General features: G+C 43.6%; 1 annotated feature.

Moving 5' to 3' along the window:
• Positions 1,902-2,102: a silencer, noted in NCBI's record as "peak2908 fragment used in MPRA reporter construct". NCBI's record gives its function as "represses an SCP1 promoter by STARR-seq MPRAs in K562 erythroleukemia cells {active_cell/tissue: K562}" and the evidence as "EXISTENCE:reporter gene assay evidence [ECO:0000049][PMID:32103011]".

Below are 16,113 nucleotides of genomic sequence, written 5' to 3' on the forward strand. Positions count from 1 at the left end.
CTCAATTGTTAAAAGCTGTAAACAGTTCTAAAGAAAAGTCTCTTTAACTCTGAAAAACAAAACAAAGGATCAGCAACATTTTAAGCAAAAAGTCAAAAAAGGTTACTTCATTCTTCTATTAGTTCAGTCCACGCAGTTAACTTCTGTTCTACTTGATATTCATCAACATTTCATCTCTCCATGAACACTGAAAGTTTTTTTCCTCTGTTCTAATGTCACAGTCTCCAAAGTTATCAGAAACTTGCATTCAAGAACACCTGTTAGAGACCTATAGCTGATTACAAACCACCTTTTAAAGAGGATCAAAACAAGACCATCATTGTTTGTGGATGACAAAATGTCTTAGGACAGCCACTATTAAAGCCACAGTTGACTAGGTAATTTTGGTTACTTCTGTGGCATAAACAATTTTACATAACAATTATAACTATGAATAACATGCACTGTTATGTTAGAATTGTATACTTTTTGAACACATACCAATAACATATTTATACATATACAGCCCAAAGAAAGCCAAACAGCATCTCATAGTTGACAATGTTTCCTGCATGGTTTTATACCAAATGAGCCACACTTTACCATTGCATTAATGCATTATTGATGTCAAACCCAATCCTTAATAAAACCTTATAGACAAATCTATCCAATTTTAATGTCTGACCAAAAGGTAAGATTCTCATAGATCTTTTTTATAGCCTTTACAATTTTTGTTAAAGAGCAGATCAATTCTCCGAGAGAAAACCTCATTGTGCTTTTATTTGAATATTCAATTTATGGAAAAACTGAATAATATTCCTTTAACTTTAGCCAATATTTTCACACATAGAATTTCTTTTACAAGAATAATTTTTCACAAACCTTCCATAACTTGTCCAAACCTTTAGATTTATCCTAACTGAATACAATCCTTTAACACTTTAATCTAGGCAGAAAAATCCACATTCCCATGCCTTCTTAAAATCTTTTGCCAAAAGTACATTTTACTTTACTTATACACCTTGCAAGTAAAATTGTTTCTTCAGTAGCCTCAATTACATGTTACAGTGTTAACTCTTAACTTTTACTTTTGGTGAAAAACCTGGTTAATGAGTGATTTATTTATTTTTATTTATTTTTTTAAGATGGAGTCTTGCTCTGTTGCCCAGGCTGGAGTGCAGTGGCATGATCTTGGCTCACTGCAACCTCCACCTCCCAGGTTAAAGTGAATCTCCTGCCTCAGCCTCTCTAGTAGCTGAGATTACAGGCACCCACCACCATGCCCAGCTAATTTTTGTATTTTTTTTTTTTTTTAGTAGAGACAGGGTTTCACTATGTTGGCCAGGCTGGTCTCAAACTCCTGACCTCAAGTGATCTGCCCACCTCAGCCTCCCAAAGTGCTGGGATTATAGGTGTGAGCCACTGTGACTGGCCAATAAGTGATTTTAATTACGTACCAGGTGTGTGTGGAGCCTAGGACCCAGAGAGAAGTACAGATAAGGTCTGACTTTTCTCAGCATAGCCAGGGGGTATGGATAGCTCCACATGTCCCCAGGTTTCATCTAGAATTTAATGCTCCAAAGTAGGTAAATTGAACAATTTTCAAAAGTCAAAGAAGCAGTTTATGACCTTAAAGCATTAAGCAAACCTAATACCTGACCTGCATAATTTAGACCAAATGCCTAAATTTTGAAAACATTTTTGTTTTACCAATAATCTTTAAAACTGTGTTTCCCAAAGCTTACTAAAGTCATGTGAACCAAAAGGCATTAAAGTTTTTATTTTTCTGACAAAATATTTGATTTAAGCACTTATTATTTTTAAGCCAATTAATCAAAGCTCTTTCATATAGAAACATTATACACATAACACATATAAATACAAAGACAGAAGAAGATCCAGTAGTTGAAAGATTTTTCATTTGCCAGTTTCTTAATTGGATTACTGGCTTCAGGGTGGAGCCCTTGGAGGAACACAGCCAGGAAAGCATGCCATTTCTACAGCCTAATAAGTAGGCACAGCTGGAAACAAAACAGATTCCCAAAATTTAAGGGTCCCAGATCCAGATCCTGGATCCCCAAAAGAGAGATTCAGCCCATCTCCCATGGGAGTCTTATCTCTCAGTGGGGGTGGGGTCATTTCCATACCTTCTAGGTAGTCAAGAGCATGCTTCTCTAATGCAAACATGCAAAGAGCCACGTATTCCCCCATAACTGCCATTAGCTATCCCCAAAAGTATATTCCTACCCAGTTGTTATACTAGGTAAAGCTTATACCAAAGCTCTCTAATAATGTAAAGTAATTTCTGATACCCCAAAAAGTTAAAAATATCAGATAATGCAATGCAAAACAGGACAAAGCCTTAGATTTTGAGAGGAATCTACCCACTTTTATTTCCTGGGTTTCCATGAAGACAATAGACATTTTTCCCCAAATGGGATCTGTGGTGCCTCCTATTACTGCAACCTGTTTTATCAGAAAGGTCTTTATGACCTGTGTCTCGTGCTGACCTCCTGTCTCATCCTCTGACTAAGAATGCCTTAACCTCCTGGGAATGCAGCCCAGAAGGTCTCAGCCTTATTTCATCCAGTCCCTATTCAAGATGGAGTCGTTCTGGTTCAAACACCTCTCACAGCACCTCAGTCTCTCTCTTGCTCCTGCTCTGGCCATGTGAGGTGCCTGCTCCCCCTTCACCTTCACCATGACTGTAAGTTTCCTGAGGCCTCCCAAGAAGCCGAGCAGATGCCAGCACCATGCTACCTGTATAACATGCAGAACCATGAGCCAATTAAACCTCTTTTCTTTACACATTACCCAGTCTCAGGTATTTCTTTTTTTTTTTTTTTTTGAGACGGAGTCTCACTCTGTTGCCCAGGGTGGAGTGCAGTGGTGCGATCTCGGCTCATTGCAAGCTCTGCCTCCAGGGTTTATGCCATTCTCCTGCCTCAGCCTCCCGAAGTGCTGGGACTACAGGCGCCCACCACCACGCCTGGCTAATTTTTTGTATTTTTAGTAGAGATGGGGTTTCACCGTGTTAGCCAGGATGGTCTCGATCTCCTGACCTCGTGATCCGCCCACCTCGGCCTCCCAATCAGGTATTTCTTTATAGCAATGTGAGAATGGACTAACAAACATTACCTGAGTTCTGTGAGCTGTTTTAGCAAATGATTAAACTCAAGAAAGGGATCATGGGACCCTCTGACTCATAGCCTGTCAGAAGCACCAGGTGACAAGCTGGACTTTTGATTGGCAACCGACTGTGGGGTAGGTACTAACTTCAGATAGATCATGTCAGAACTGAATTGAATTGTAGGATACCCAGCTGGTATCTCCAGAGAATTGGAGAATTGCTTGGTATAGGAACCCCTGCTACACACACACATCTGGTGTCACAAGTGAAGTACTGAGTTTTTCCTTTCGTTGTGAAGAAGAAAACCCTTTTTATTCTAAATGCCTTGTGTTTGGTGTCATTGAAGCTACATAGTGTCTTAGTTCTTTCCGGCTGCTATAACAAAATTACCTTAGACTAGGGCATTTATAAATGACAGAAATTTATTCCTCATAGTTCTGGAGTCTGGAAAGTGCAAAATCAAGATGCCAGCAGGTTTGGTGTCTGGTGAGGGCCCTTTCATGAGGGTTCCGCTCCCATTAACCACTCCTAAAGGCCCTATTTCTTTTTTTTTTTAATTATTTTTTTGTAGAGGGTCTCACTATTTTGACTAGGCTGGTCTCAAGTTTCTGGCTTCAAGCAATTCTCCCACCTCGGCCGCCCAAAGTGCTGAGATTACAGGCAAGAGGCACTTGTGCCAGTCCCATTTCTTTTTCTTTTTCTTTTTTGAGATGGAGTTTCACTCTTGTTGCCCAGGCTGGAGTGCAATGGCACGATCTCAGCTCACCACAACCTCTGCTTTTGGGGTTCAAGTGATTCTTCTGCCTCAGCCTCCAGAATAGCTGGGATTACAAGCATGCTCCACCATGCCTGGCTAATTTTTTGTTGAGATGGGCTTTCTCCATGTTGGTCAGGCTGGTCTCAAACTCCCGACCTCAGGTGATCCACCTGCCTCAGCCTCCCAAAGTGCTGGGATTACAGGTGTGAGCCACTGCCCCTGGCCCCTAGCCCCACTTCTTTAGTACTATCCCATAGGCAATTAGGTTCCAATATATGGGGAGATAGGACATTTCTGCTGGGCTTGAACACCTACATTTTTAAAATAAAATTTAAAAACAACCATAATACCATCATCACTCCCCTACTACCCCCCAAGTGAAAAATATCTTAGTATCATCAAATATCCAAAGCCCACGTAGACTACAAATTTATTTCCACCAATTCAAATTCCTGGGCTGGAGCATCTGATTAGTGGGTCTACAGGACTACTCTGTATCTACCAAGGAGGAGAGAGAGGAAAGGTATAACCTCATTGAGGCCCCAATAGCTTCTCATCAGAGGATTCTGCCTGATGCTGGCAAGACAAAAAAAAAAAAAGAGTTTTGCCAGGCGCGGTGGCTCACATCTGTAATCTCAACACTTTGGAAGGCTGAGGCAGGTGGATTGCTTAAGTCTAGGAGTTCAAGACCAGCCTGGGCAACATAGGGAGACCCCATTTCTACAAAAAATTTTTAAAATTAGCCAGGCATGGTGGTGAGCACCTATAGTCCCAGCTACTCAAGGAGGCTGACGTGGGAGAATCGCTTGAGCCTGGGAGGTCAAGGTAGTGAGCCACGATCATGCCACTATACTCCAGCCTGGACAACTAAGTGAGGCTCTTCCCCCGCTCCAAAAAAAAAGAAAAAAAAAAAAAGAAATGACTTCCCATTACAAGTGGTGTCAGCAATAATGCAGAAGAGAGGGAATGGCCAGAAAAGCTTTTGGACAGGAGGTCAGATTAAACTGAGCTCTATGAGATGGGTAGAGTATAGGTATCTAGAGATGGGTAGAGTGTAGGTACCTAAAGATGGGTAAAGTGTAGGTAACTAGAGAGACTAGAGGATAGGATATTTTTTATTTTATTTTTCCTTCTTTGTGATGGAGTTTCACTCTTGTTGCCGAGGCTGGAGTGCCATGGCGCCATCTCGGTCCACTGCAACCTCTGCCTCCCGGGTTCAAGCAATTCTTCTGCCCCAGCCTCCAGAGTAGCTGGGATTACAAGCATGTGCCACCACAACCAGCTAATGTTATATTTTTAGTAGAGACAGTTTTCACCATGTTGGCCAGGCCGGTCTCAAACTCCTAACCTCAGGTGATCCACCCGTCTTGGCCTCCCAAAGTGCTGGGATTACAGGCATGAGCCACCACGCCCAGCAATATTTTTTATTTCTAATAAAATAATAAGTGTAATAGTAACAAAATTTAGAAAATAAAGAAATGTAGGAAAATAGTTATTAAAAGTCTCATTACCCAAAAAAGTCATTTGGCTTAATTCATATCCCTATATTTTTTATTTAACGGGCATTATAAGAATTTATCTATGTTACTGTGGGTTCTTTGTCAGTATAATTTTTTTTTAAAGAGAGAAGGTCTTGCTCTGTTGTCCAAGCTGGAGAACAGAGTGCAGTGGTATGGTCATAGCTCACAGCAGCCTTGAACCTCTGTGCTCAAGTGATCCTTCTGCCTCAGCCTCCTGCATAGCTGGGACTACAGGTGCCACCACCACACCCCGCTAATTTTTCAATTTTTTGTAGAGACAAAGTCTCATTTTGTTTCCCAGACTGGTGTTGAACTCCTGGCCTCAAGTGACCCTCCTGCCTTGGCCTCCTGAAGGGCTGGGATTACAGGCCTGAGCCACTGTGTCTGGCCTTGTAAATATCATTTTTTAACAGATACATAATATTCCATTAAGAAAATGTTCTACACTTCATCTGACCAGTCCTCCATATTTTGACATTTATTCAAATTTCAGTTTTTCTTTTCTTTTTTTTTTTTTTTTTCAGACAGGGTCTCATTCTGTCACCCAGCTGGAGTGCAGTGGTGCCATCTTGGCTCACTGCAACCTCGACATCCCTGGCTCATGTGATCTTCTCACCTCAGCTTCCCAAGTAGCTGGGATTACAAGTGTGCACCACCATGCCTGGCTTATTTTTTAAATTTTTTTTGTAGAGACAGGGTTTCACCATGTTGCCCAGACTGATCTCAAACTCCTGGGCTCTAGCAATCGCCCACCTGGGCCTCTCAAAGTGTCATTTCAGTTTTTCTGATTATAAATAACTGTGATGAACATTATTTTGCTTAAAGCTTTTTCTGGTTTTAGAGTTATTTAATTACTATGGACTCCCAAAAGCAAAATTCTGGTAAAATGTTGTATAAATATTATAAAGAGTGGGGGTATTTCTGATACTGATTTTATACCACCTTATATTGTTATTTAGTAATCTCAAGAGGTGTTTCAAATTCTCAAGGCAAAATTGATAGAAATTGGTAAATTTTAAGACCATAGGCCCTAGGGTGTATAGCATAGAGGCAGAATTTTTAACTGCGCACACAGCGATCCAGAAAAAAAAAAAAAAATACTACATTTCCCAGCAGTTAAGTGTGGCCACGTGACTACGTTCTGGCCACCGGGATATAAACAGAAGTGTTCTGGCAGCAGCTGGAAACCGTCCCCTTTGGTGTACCTTTTGTTCCCTTTCACCCTCTTTTATTTTGCTGGCTGGAATGTGAATGCAACCATTTGGGATCATGGTAGGAAGATATGCTAGAATGAGCCGAGGTCCCCGAGGATTTTGAGGACTGGAGCCACCATTCCACCTTTGTACTCCTTTTCTCTCTTTACATGGAAATAAATTTTTGTCTTAAGCTACTGTTGGTTTGGGTTTTCTACCACTTACAGCCATGCCTAATTCTGACTAAATACAATGTGGTTTTAAAACTGGGACAGGCATTGTTATACTCTTCTTCATAAGCCCAGAGTAGCTGAGAAATGTTGCCATGGGAAAAAAACATTACAGGCCGGGCACGGTGGCTCATGCCTGTAATCCCAACACTTTGGGAGGCCGAGCTGGCAGATCACCTGAGGTCAGGAGTTCGAGACCAGCCTGGCCAACATGGTCAAACCCCGTCTCTATTAAGAATACAAAAATTAGCTGGGTGTGCTGGCAGGTGCCTGTAATCCCAGCTACTCAGGAGGAGGGTGAGGCAGGAGAATCACTTGAACCTGGGAGGCGGAGATTGCAGTGAGCCGAGACCGTGCCACTGCACTCCAGCCTGGGCAACAAGAGCAAAACTCCGTCTCAAAAAAAAAAAAAAAAAAAAATTTCAAATGTACTTTGAGATCAGGTCACGAGGAGGTTTGACTTTTTAAGTGTTCCTGATTCTAACAGAAAAGAAAACATTAGTGTCAGCAGCAGGAAATTTCAAGTAAAACTATAGGATTCGTGACGTCCAACTTCTAATTTAGTTGCTTCAAGTGTAAAGGCAAAAAGGAGTTGTGGGGTAGAGGGGAGAAAACTGGTTTGTCTTGTTTCCAAGGATTACTGCCCCTACTTCAAGAGCTATTAAAAGGTCCTCTTGAGAGAACTGTAACCAAAAATAAAGTGGCACTGGCAACTCTCTGGGAACACATTTAACTCTGCTCGTAGAAGCATAGCCTGTTTTAATTGGCTAAAGCCCAAGCCAGGCCCTGTTTTCATCTGAATTAGGAAAAAGCAACTGCTGAGAAAATATTTAAAAATAACTATACCAATGTAAAAAAGCAAAGAAAAAAAAAAAACAAACAAAACCCCAAAACCCTAAATTAAAAGAACATGTGTTCGAATGTACTTGGTTAAAGCCAGATGCAGTGGCTCGCACCTGTAATCCCAGCCCTTTGGGAGGCCAACATGGAGGATCGCTTGAGCTCAGGAGTTCAAGACCAGCCTGGGCAACATAGGGAGACCCTCTCTCTATTTATTTTAATTTTTTTTAAACAATGTACTTAAAGTAAATCAAATCTGGTGAAGACACAGATGCTTTGGGGCTCAGATCTATATGTTAGGATTGGGAATTTGTATTTTTGTTTCTCAAAAGTGGTCACTGACTGGGTACAATGGCTCAGACATGTAACCTCAGCACTTTGGGAGGCCAAGGTGGGAGGATCATTTGAGCCCAGGAGTTCTAGACCAGCCTGGGCAATATAGTGAGATCCTATCTCTACAAATAAAAATAAAAATAAAAATAAAAATAAAAAAAATGCCAGGCATGGTGGTGCATGCTTGTAGTTCCAGTTACTTAAGAGTGTGGGGTGGGAGAATCACTTGAGCCCAGGAAGTTGAGGCTGCAGTGAGCTATGATCATGCCACTGCACTGCAACCTGGGTGACAGAGTGAGACCCTGTCTCAAAACAAAAGAAAAATGTGGTCACTTCAGGGGGCAGTGAAGTAAGTGCAATATTTTGCTGTGATGTTTACAAGCAATCTTGGTATTTGATCTTTTCTGCCATTAGAATTTGTCAGCCAAGCTGGGCACAGTGGCTCATGCCTGGAATCCCAGCACTTTGGGAGGCCAAGGTGGGAGGATCGCTTGAGCCAAGGAGTTATAGACAAGCCTGGGCAACACGGTGAAACCCTGCCTCTACAAAAAAAAAAACAAAAATTAGCCAAGTATGGTGGTGCATGCCTGTAGTCCTAATTACTTGGGAGGCTGAGGTGGGAGGACCACGTGAGCTGTGATGGCACCGCTGCATCTAGCCTGGGTGACAGTGAGACCCTGCCTCAAAAGAAGAAAAAGGAATTTGTCAGCTGAGAGCATTAGGGCCAGACTCAAAACCAAGAGCTGCATCCAACTGACTCCCTCTGGAATTAAATAGCATCATCAGTGACATACCTTAGTCTGGTGTCCTCTGGCATACAGAACTCACCCTAGACTAGATTGCCCCTGTCAATGTCCCTCTTCCAACCTACATGTGATATGTCCTGACAAGTTTCTGCAAGATTTCTTCTTTTCCCCAAACTGACCCCAGATTAAAGCTTCAGGAGCTTGCTCTCAACCAAGCTGAAAAGGGGCCATTCAATTTGTGACTCCATATGGCAAGATGTTCATCCAAGCCAGCTTCCTTCTGCCAGCCTGCATACCTTCAGACTCCTCCAAACAATCAGGGGCTGTTCACCTGGGGACAGCAAACAAAGTTGGATGTTGTCTTTGGCAAAGTATAAAAAAGGCAGCAAATATATTTCAAAATAAATCTTACACTGCACCCCAAAGCCAATATGATTAAAAAGAAACATGTAACCATGTTTGCCATTCTTGTTTTTTTTTTTTTTTTGAGACAGGGTCTCACTCTGTCGCCCAGGGTGGAGTACAGTGGCGCAATCTCGGCTCGCTTCAACCTCTGCCTCCTAAGCTTACGGGATCCTCCCACCTCAGCCCCCAAGTAGCTGGGAGTACAGGCATGAACCACCATTTTTCTGTATTTTTTGTAGAAATGGGGTTTCACCATGTTGTCCAGGCTGGTCTCAAACTCCTGAGCTCAAGCAATCTACCAGCCTCAGCCTCCCAAAGTGCTAGGATTACAGATGTGAGCCATCGTGCTGCGCCTGGACAGCCATTCTTTTTTTTTTTTCTTGAGACAGGATCTTGCTCTGTCACTCAGGCTAGAGTGCAGTGGCGCAGTCATAGCTCATTGCAGCCTCGACCTCCTGGACTCAAGTGATCCTCCAACCTCCCAAGTAGCTGGGATCACAGGTGAACACTACCACACCCAGCCAATTTTGAAATTTTTGGTAGAGACACGGTCTCTCTATGTTGTCCAGGCTGGGGCTATTCTGTTACTATAATAAACAATTAACCTTCAGTGGGTCATATAATCCCTTTACTTATGGGCATTAGGATGTTTCTGATGTTTCTGATGATGTTTCTGTCTTTTTCAAAATAGACATTTCACTTCCAGGGTACTGGGGTTGGCTGTAGTACTTGGCAATGAAATCTACACTTTCTCAGGAGAAAAAAGTCCCGCACTTCATCAATCATGGTTGTTTCTGAGATGGATTTAACGCTGTGTTCCACCAGGGTCACAGCTCGTTCTTACCTTGTGCTTTTTCTTTGAAAGCCACCTGGCTCCTGCCACAGCCCCTTGAAGGTTGCCTTTGTTAGTTGCTCACTTTCCCTTTAAGAGTTGTGAGTGTTTCGGCTGGTAAAGTTCCAAGTGCCCTCTGGACAAATTGGCACAATGTGAGGATTTTCCAATTTGGAAGAGAAAGAGCCTGTTCTCCAGGGAGGGCTCTTCAAGGTAATTGCTCTCTGAGAGGTTCTTGCCACTCCCTTTGGCAACCTTCAGAGAAAAATCCCTCTTGCTGTTAGGAGGAGGTAGAAACCCACAGATGGGAAAAGAGGAGCTCAGGGCAGACTTGCCGAGACCTTTGAAACCAGTGACCTTTGGAAATGCAGGAAAAGAGGGAAAGGCCAGTGCAGGCAAAGGCAGTCGCGCTTCCCTTCCCAAGATAGGCACTATAGCTCCAGCTGTAATGACCATTTTCACTGTAGTCCTTTTACTAAAGAGCTTTAGCAAAGGAGTAGTGGCCAAGGAAGCCCCTTGCAGGGAGAGAATGGCGCTTACTCAGAAGAAATACTTTAACAAACCACCTGGGCTGGAGGGAGGCGCCCAACGGTGTGCTGGATAAGAAAAGATGGTGGTTAACAAGAGCAGGGGTCCAAGAAAAACCACAGAGAAGAGCAAGACATGGAGAATAGAGAAGTCCCCTCTGGGTCACCACCCCTACCCTGGCAGGGGATGTGTGGAGAGAAAAGCCAGGTGGTGGGGTGACAAGAAATGGGTGGTAGGCTGAAAAGAAGTATGGAAGAATAAAAATGAAATTGTTTTCAGTAGATCCCCTTCCCCAGCTCTGCCTTGAAACTTTCAGTAAATTTCACATCATTCACCATTGTTGTGAGTGTAGGTAAGCAACCTCTTTCTGGGGAAACTGAGAGGGCACTGTGGTCTGTTGATGTTGGGCGGAAAGCAAGAGAGAACGGGGCTGGACACAGACGGGGTTGTAGCACTTTTGTTTCCCTGTGTGTTCACATCACAATCCTGGAAAATGGCAGAAAGGAGCAGGCAGCCACAGCTGGGTCTGGGTGGAGAAAAGGAGGCTGGAGGCCAAGCTGAGAAGCAGTCTTCACTGTGAGTTGCCAGGCTCAGTGTGAATTTAGCGCTGCCTGGTTCCAAAGCTCATGGAAGAATTACCTGGTCCTGAAGTTTCCTCCTCCTGCCCTTGAACAGGACTTTAGAACTGTTGGGGTTAGGGTTAGTGCTGAGAGCTGTTGGTTCCTGTTTCCGGTAGGAGAACAGCATGCGGCATGAATGCATGGGTTTTGGAGACTCCCTGGGCTTGAGTCCTAGCTCTGCCATTTACTAGGTGTGTGACCTTGGACACATTATTCAGAGTCTCCATACCTTAATCTTATCTGCAAAAGCAAGGGAATAATAGTACCTTCTCTATAGGGTTACTAGGGGAAGCAAATGAAATTATATACATAAGAGTCTTAGCACAGGGCAATAAATATTAATTGTTTTTATTTGCTAACAACAACACAGAACAGTGCCATGAACAGCCCCAAAGCTCAGCACTGCTATCCATCTTTTTAATTTTTCTTTCAAGATAGGGTTTTGCTCTGTTGCCCAGGCTGGAGTGTAGAGTTGCAAACACAGCTCACTGCAGTCTCAACTTCCTGGGCTCAAGTGATTCTCCCCTCTCAACTTCCCAAGTAGCTGAGAACACAGGCACGTGCTACCACACCTGGCTAATTTTTTATTTATTTTGTTTATTTTTTTTGAGATGGAGTCTCACCATGTTGCCCAGGCTGGTCTCAAACTCCTGGGCTCAAGCAATTTTCCCACCTCTGCCTCCCAGTGTTGGGATTACAGGTGTGAGCCACTGCACCTGGCTTATCTGTCTTTTTGATCCACAGAAAGAGTTTAGGTCCTGGAGTCAAACAGACCCAGCTCCAGTCCCAGCTCTACCCCTTCCTGGCTGGATCACTGCAGGAAAATTATTTAACTTTTCTGTTAAAGAGGTGAATAACACTTTGCTAGTGGGATTGTTGAGGGGGTGAACTAATACGAAAAGCACCTGGCAAAGTCCTGTCCATCTGATTTGATCACAAGACGATCTGGGACTCCCCTGCCCTAGTCTGCTTTACTATACACATATTCTCAACAGCTCTCAGACCTCCTAGGAAATAAATTTTTTTCCTACATTCAGTTAAGTTTGGCCAGAATTAAACAAACTCTGGGATTTGTTCCTTCTGTGTTATCTGGGAAGCCAGTTGGCCTCACCTTAGCATCTTGCTACGCAGGTTGGCTGAACCCTGACTGCAGCTACAGTGTCAGGTCAGCGAAAGGAGTTGCTTTGAGAACTTCCGGGAAACTTTTATTGGCCAACATGGACTAAACGAAGTCAAGCTCATTTACTATGAACCAAATGTTACCCCCTTTCCTCCAGCTTTGAACAGGTCTCATTTTAGCAACTCCTCCCTCCTTCCAAGACCTTCATAAAGGCGTCTGCCATTGAATGCCTCCATTTGTAATGTTGACTCCTCCCAGGATGCCAAGCCCCATCATGGACGACCCTCCAGAAAACGCTGGTCACCATCACACTCCTTTCTCATCCATATGGCAGATATGAGCAACAGTGGCCAGGAGGAGATGCAATGAAAGATAGTGCAGATGAGGATTCCTGCAAATTCCACTACCACAGAAAGGTCTAAGCAGTGGGGAAGACAATAGGCATGCTGCTGCGGTAGGAATAGTAACAGCTGTGCTTATTGAGTGCTTGCTAAATGCCAGGCACTTGCTCTAAGTGTTTTATAGCTGTTTGTTCACTTAATCATATACCTCTGAGCTGGGACTGTTATTCTACCCATTTTACAGATGGAGAACATGAAGCAAAGAAGGTTTAAATAACTTTCCCAATATGACACAGTTACAAGGTGGCACTCATGAGATTTGAACCATGTAGTCTGTGGCTAGAGCCCATGCTCTCTCTCTTTCTCTTCCTTCCTTCCTTCTTTCTTTTTTTCTTTTCTTCTTCTGCTTTTTCTCCTTCCTTCCTTTCCCTTTCTTTTTTTGATAGGGTCTCACTCTGTCACTTAGGGTGGAGTGTGCAATGGCACAATCATGCTCACTGCAGCCTCAACCTCCTGGGCTCAAGGGATCCTCCCATCTTAACCTCCTGAGTAGATGGGACTATAAGTGCATGCCACCCGGCTACTTTTTTTTTGTAGAGATAAAGCCTATGTTGCCTAGGCTTGTCTCAAACTCTAGGTTCAAGCCATCTGCCCACCCTGTCTTCCCAAAGTGCTGGGATTACAGGTGTGAGCCATGCCTGGCCTAGAGTTCATGCCCTTAACCATGATAGTATAAGCACAAAATGAAAACACATGTGACATTACCTTAAGGACTTTAAAGTGCCTTGAAAATATAGAGTATATGTTCTATTGACAGTGGATAGTGGCATGATACTTTTTAAATCACTGCAATTTTTTTTAGAACCATTTGACCCATTGCCTCTGAAAAACCTCTCCTTATGGATATTTCAAAGGCATCACAAACTCAATACTGCTAAAAAATAAAAGCTTAACTATTTTTTCCTACCATGCGCTCCAATCTGTTCCTTTTCTTTTCATCTGCAGTGTAACAAATGACTCTATTCAGGCGCCTAAGTCACACACCTGGGAATCTCCTTGGATGCCCCCTCTCCTCACCCCTGCATTAGACCAATGGCCAAGTCCTGCTGATTTTACCCCGTTAGTCTCTAAGTTTGTCTGTCCCCTTCCCTGGGCTCCTTCCTTGATTGAAGTGTGCCCTCAGATCTCCCCTGGATCCCTCTGACACACTCAGAGCTCATGACTCCACCTCCAGCCTCCCCTCCCAGCCATGCTCTACACTGAAGCTACAGGAGCTTTCTGAAATGAACCCGTTCACATTGCCCTCCTTAAAACCCATATGTAGCTCCTAGAACTTTTAGGATCACATCTAAACCCTTTCCTTGGCTGACAAAGGTCTTTCTCACCTGCACCTGCCACCTCCAGGCTCCATTTCTGCTGACTTCTGAAGGCACAGCACTTGGGGACCACAATATTTTTAGGGATCCACGAACATGTTTTAATTTCTTTAAAATCAGAAAGAAAAACAATGGACTTTTAAATCACAAAAGGTGTTTTAATATATAATAGTAATTTATATGTTTATACCAACACAGCCATAAAATATGTATTTTAATATATTTGTTTAACAGAGGGAGGGGCCCATGAAAGTAAAATGCCTAGGGCCATCAAAAGCTATAAGGTAGCCCCATTGTTTACATTTCCAAAGTCCCCCCTCTCCTGGCTAACTCTTCCTCATCAGTCCAGCTCTTAGTTCATAAATCTTGCCCTGCAGGAAGTCTTTTTTCTTTTTTTGAGATAGGGTCTCTGTCGCCCAGGCTAGAGTGCAGTGACTCAGTCATGGCTCATTGCAGCCTTGACCTCCGAGGCTCAAGCAATCCTCTCACCTCAGCCTCCCAAGCAGCTGGGACCACAGGCATGCACCACCATACTTGGCTAATTTTTAAATTTTATAGAGACAGGATCTCACTGTATTGCCCAGGCTAGTCTTGAACTTCTGGACACAAGCAGTCCTCCCGCTTTGGCCTTCCAGAATGCTGAAATTACAGGCATGAGCCACTGCACTTGGGCCCTAAAACTTTTTTCTAGGTCTTTTCTAACCCTAAAACTAAACTAAGTATGGTTCTGACTGCTCCAGGGCACCCTGCTGTTGTCTATACCACAGCACAGCCAGCCAAGTATGGTGTTTGTCCTGTTTTCTAGAAACTCCTTGATAGCAGGCTTAAGTCTGGTTCATCGATGTGGCCCTGGCATCTGGCACGTAGTAAGCACTCAACAAATAACTATTGAATGAATACTGTTCTGTCTACACAGAAGTTTAAAATAGAAAACAACCTTCAGGAGGGCACCTGTTTTGAAACCCTTGAAATGCATGCATTCTTTTCAATTTCCCTCCTAAGGAGAGGCCACATAGCAAACAGAGAGGCAGACAGCCTAGGTTGGAACCTCATCTTTGCCAATTACACCTGCATGACCTTGAGCAAATTATTCAATGTCCTCATGCCTCAATTTCCTCATCTGTAATGTGGGGATAATAAAAGTTCCTAAGCTCATAGGATACTAGGAAATTTAAGTTAATAGTTGGAAAGCACTTGTAACAATCAATGCCTGTATTAGTCTGTTTTCACGCTGCTGACAAAGACATACTCGAGACGGGGGATTTTACAAAGAAAAAGAGGTTCAATGAACTCACAGCGCCACGTGGTTGGGGAGGCCCCACAATCATGGTGGACGAGAAAGGCACGTCCCACATGGCCGCAGGCAAGAGATAATTGAGACCCAAGCGAAAGTGGAAACCCCTTATAAAAACATCAGATGTTGTGAGACTTACTACCGCGAGAACAGTATGGGGGGAACCGCCCCCATGATTCAATTATCTCCCACCAGCTTTCTCCCACAACCCTTAGGAATTATGGGAGCTACAATTCAAGATGAGATTTGGGTGGGTACAGAGACAAACCATATCAATGCCTAATATGTAGTAAACTATCTTAAGGAAATATTGAATGAAGGATGCAGATGCTGCTTTTGTTTTATGGCAGAGTTGTAGCTCCAAATGTCACAATGCATATTTTTTTCTGTCACCGAGGCTGGAGTGTGGTAGCTAGATCATGGCTTAGTGCAGCATCAACCTCCTGGGCTCAGGTGATTCTCCCACCTCAGCCTCCCAAGTAGCTGGGACTACAGGTGCACACCACCATGCCTGGCTAATTTTTGTTGCCTAGGCTGGTCTCCACCTCCTGGGCTCAAGCGATCCATCTGCTTTGGCCTCCCAAAATGTTGGGATTACAGACATGAGCCACCGTGACCAACTCACAATGAGTATTTTTGATGTATTCCTCTCCTTCTCTTGTTAATTCACTGTACCCTAAGGTTTGGTTTGCCTTCCTCCCTGCTTACAGCTCTGTAAAAGCAGTTGCTGGACTGAGACACAGGAAGGGTCTGGAGCCTTCTCCCTCACAACTCCAAGATGAGATGCACCGGGGCTTGGGGTCAGGTGGGGGAGGGGAGGGACAACAGCAGAAGAGGAAAATGAGGAGGAGGAATCCGGAGCCCTCAAG

Source organism: Homo sapiens, chromosome 17, assembly GCF_000001405.40.
Source record: "Homo sapiens chromosome 17, GRCh38.p14 Primary Assembly".
In the NCBI taxonomy this organism is placed as follows: domain Eukaryota; kingdom Metazoa; phylum Chordata; class Mammalia; order Primates; family Hominidae; genus Homo; species Homo sapiens.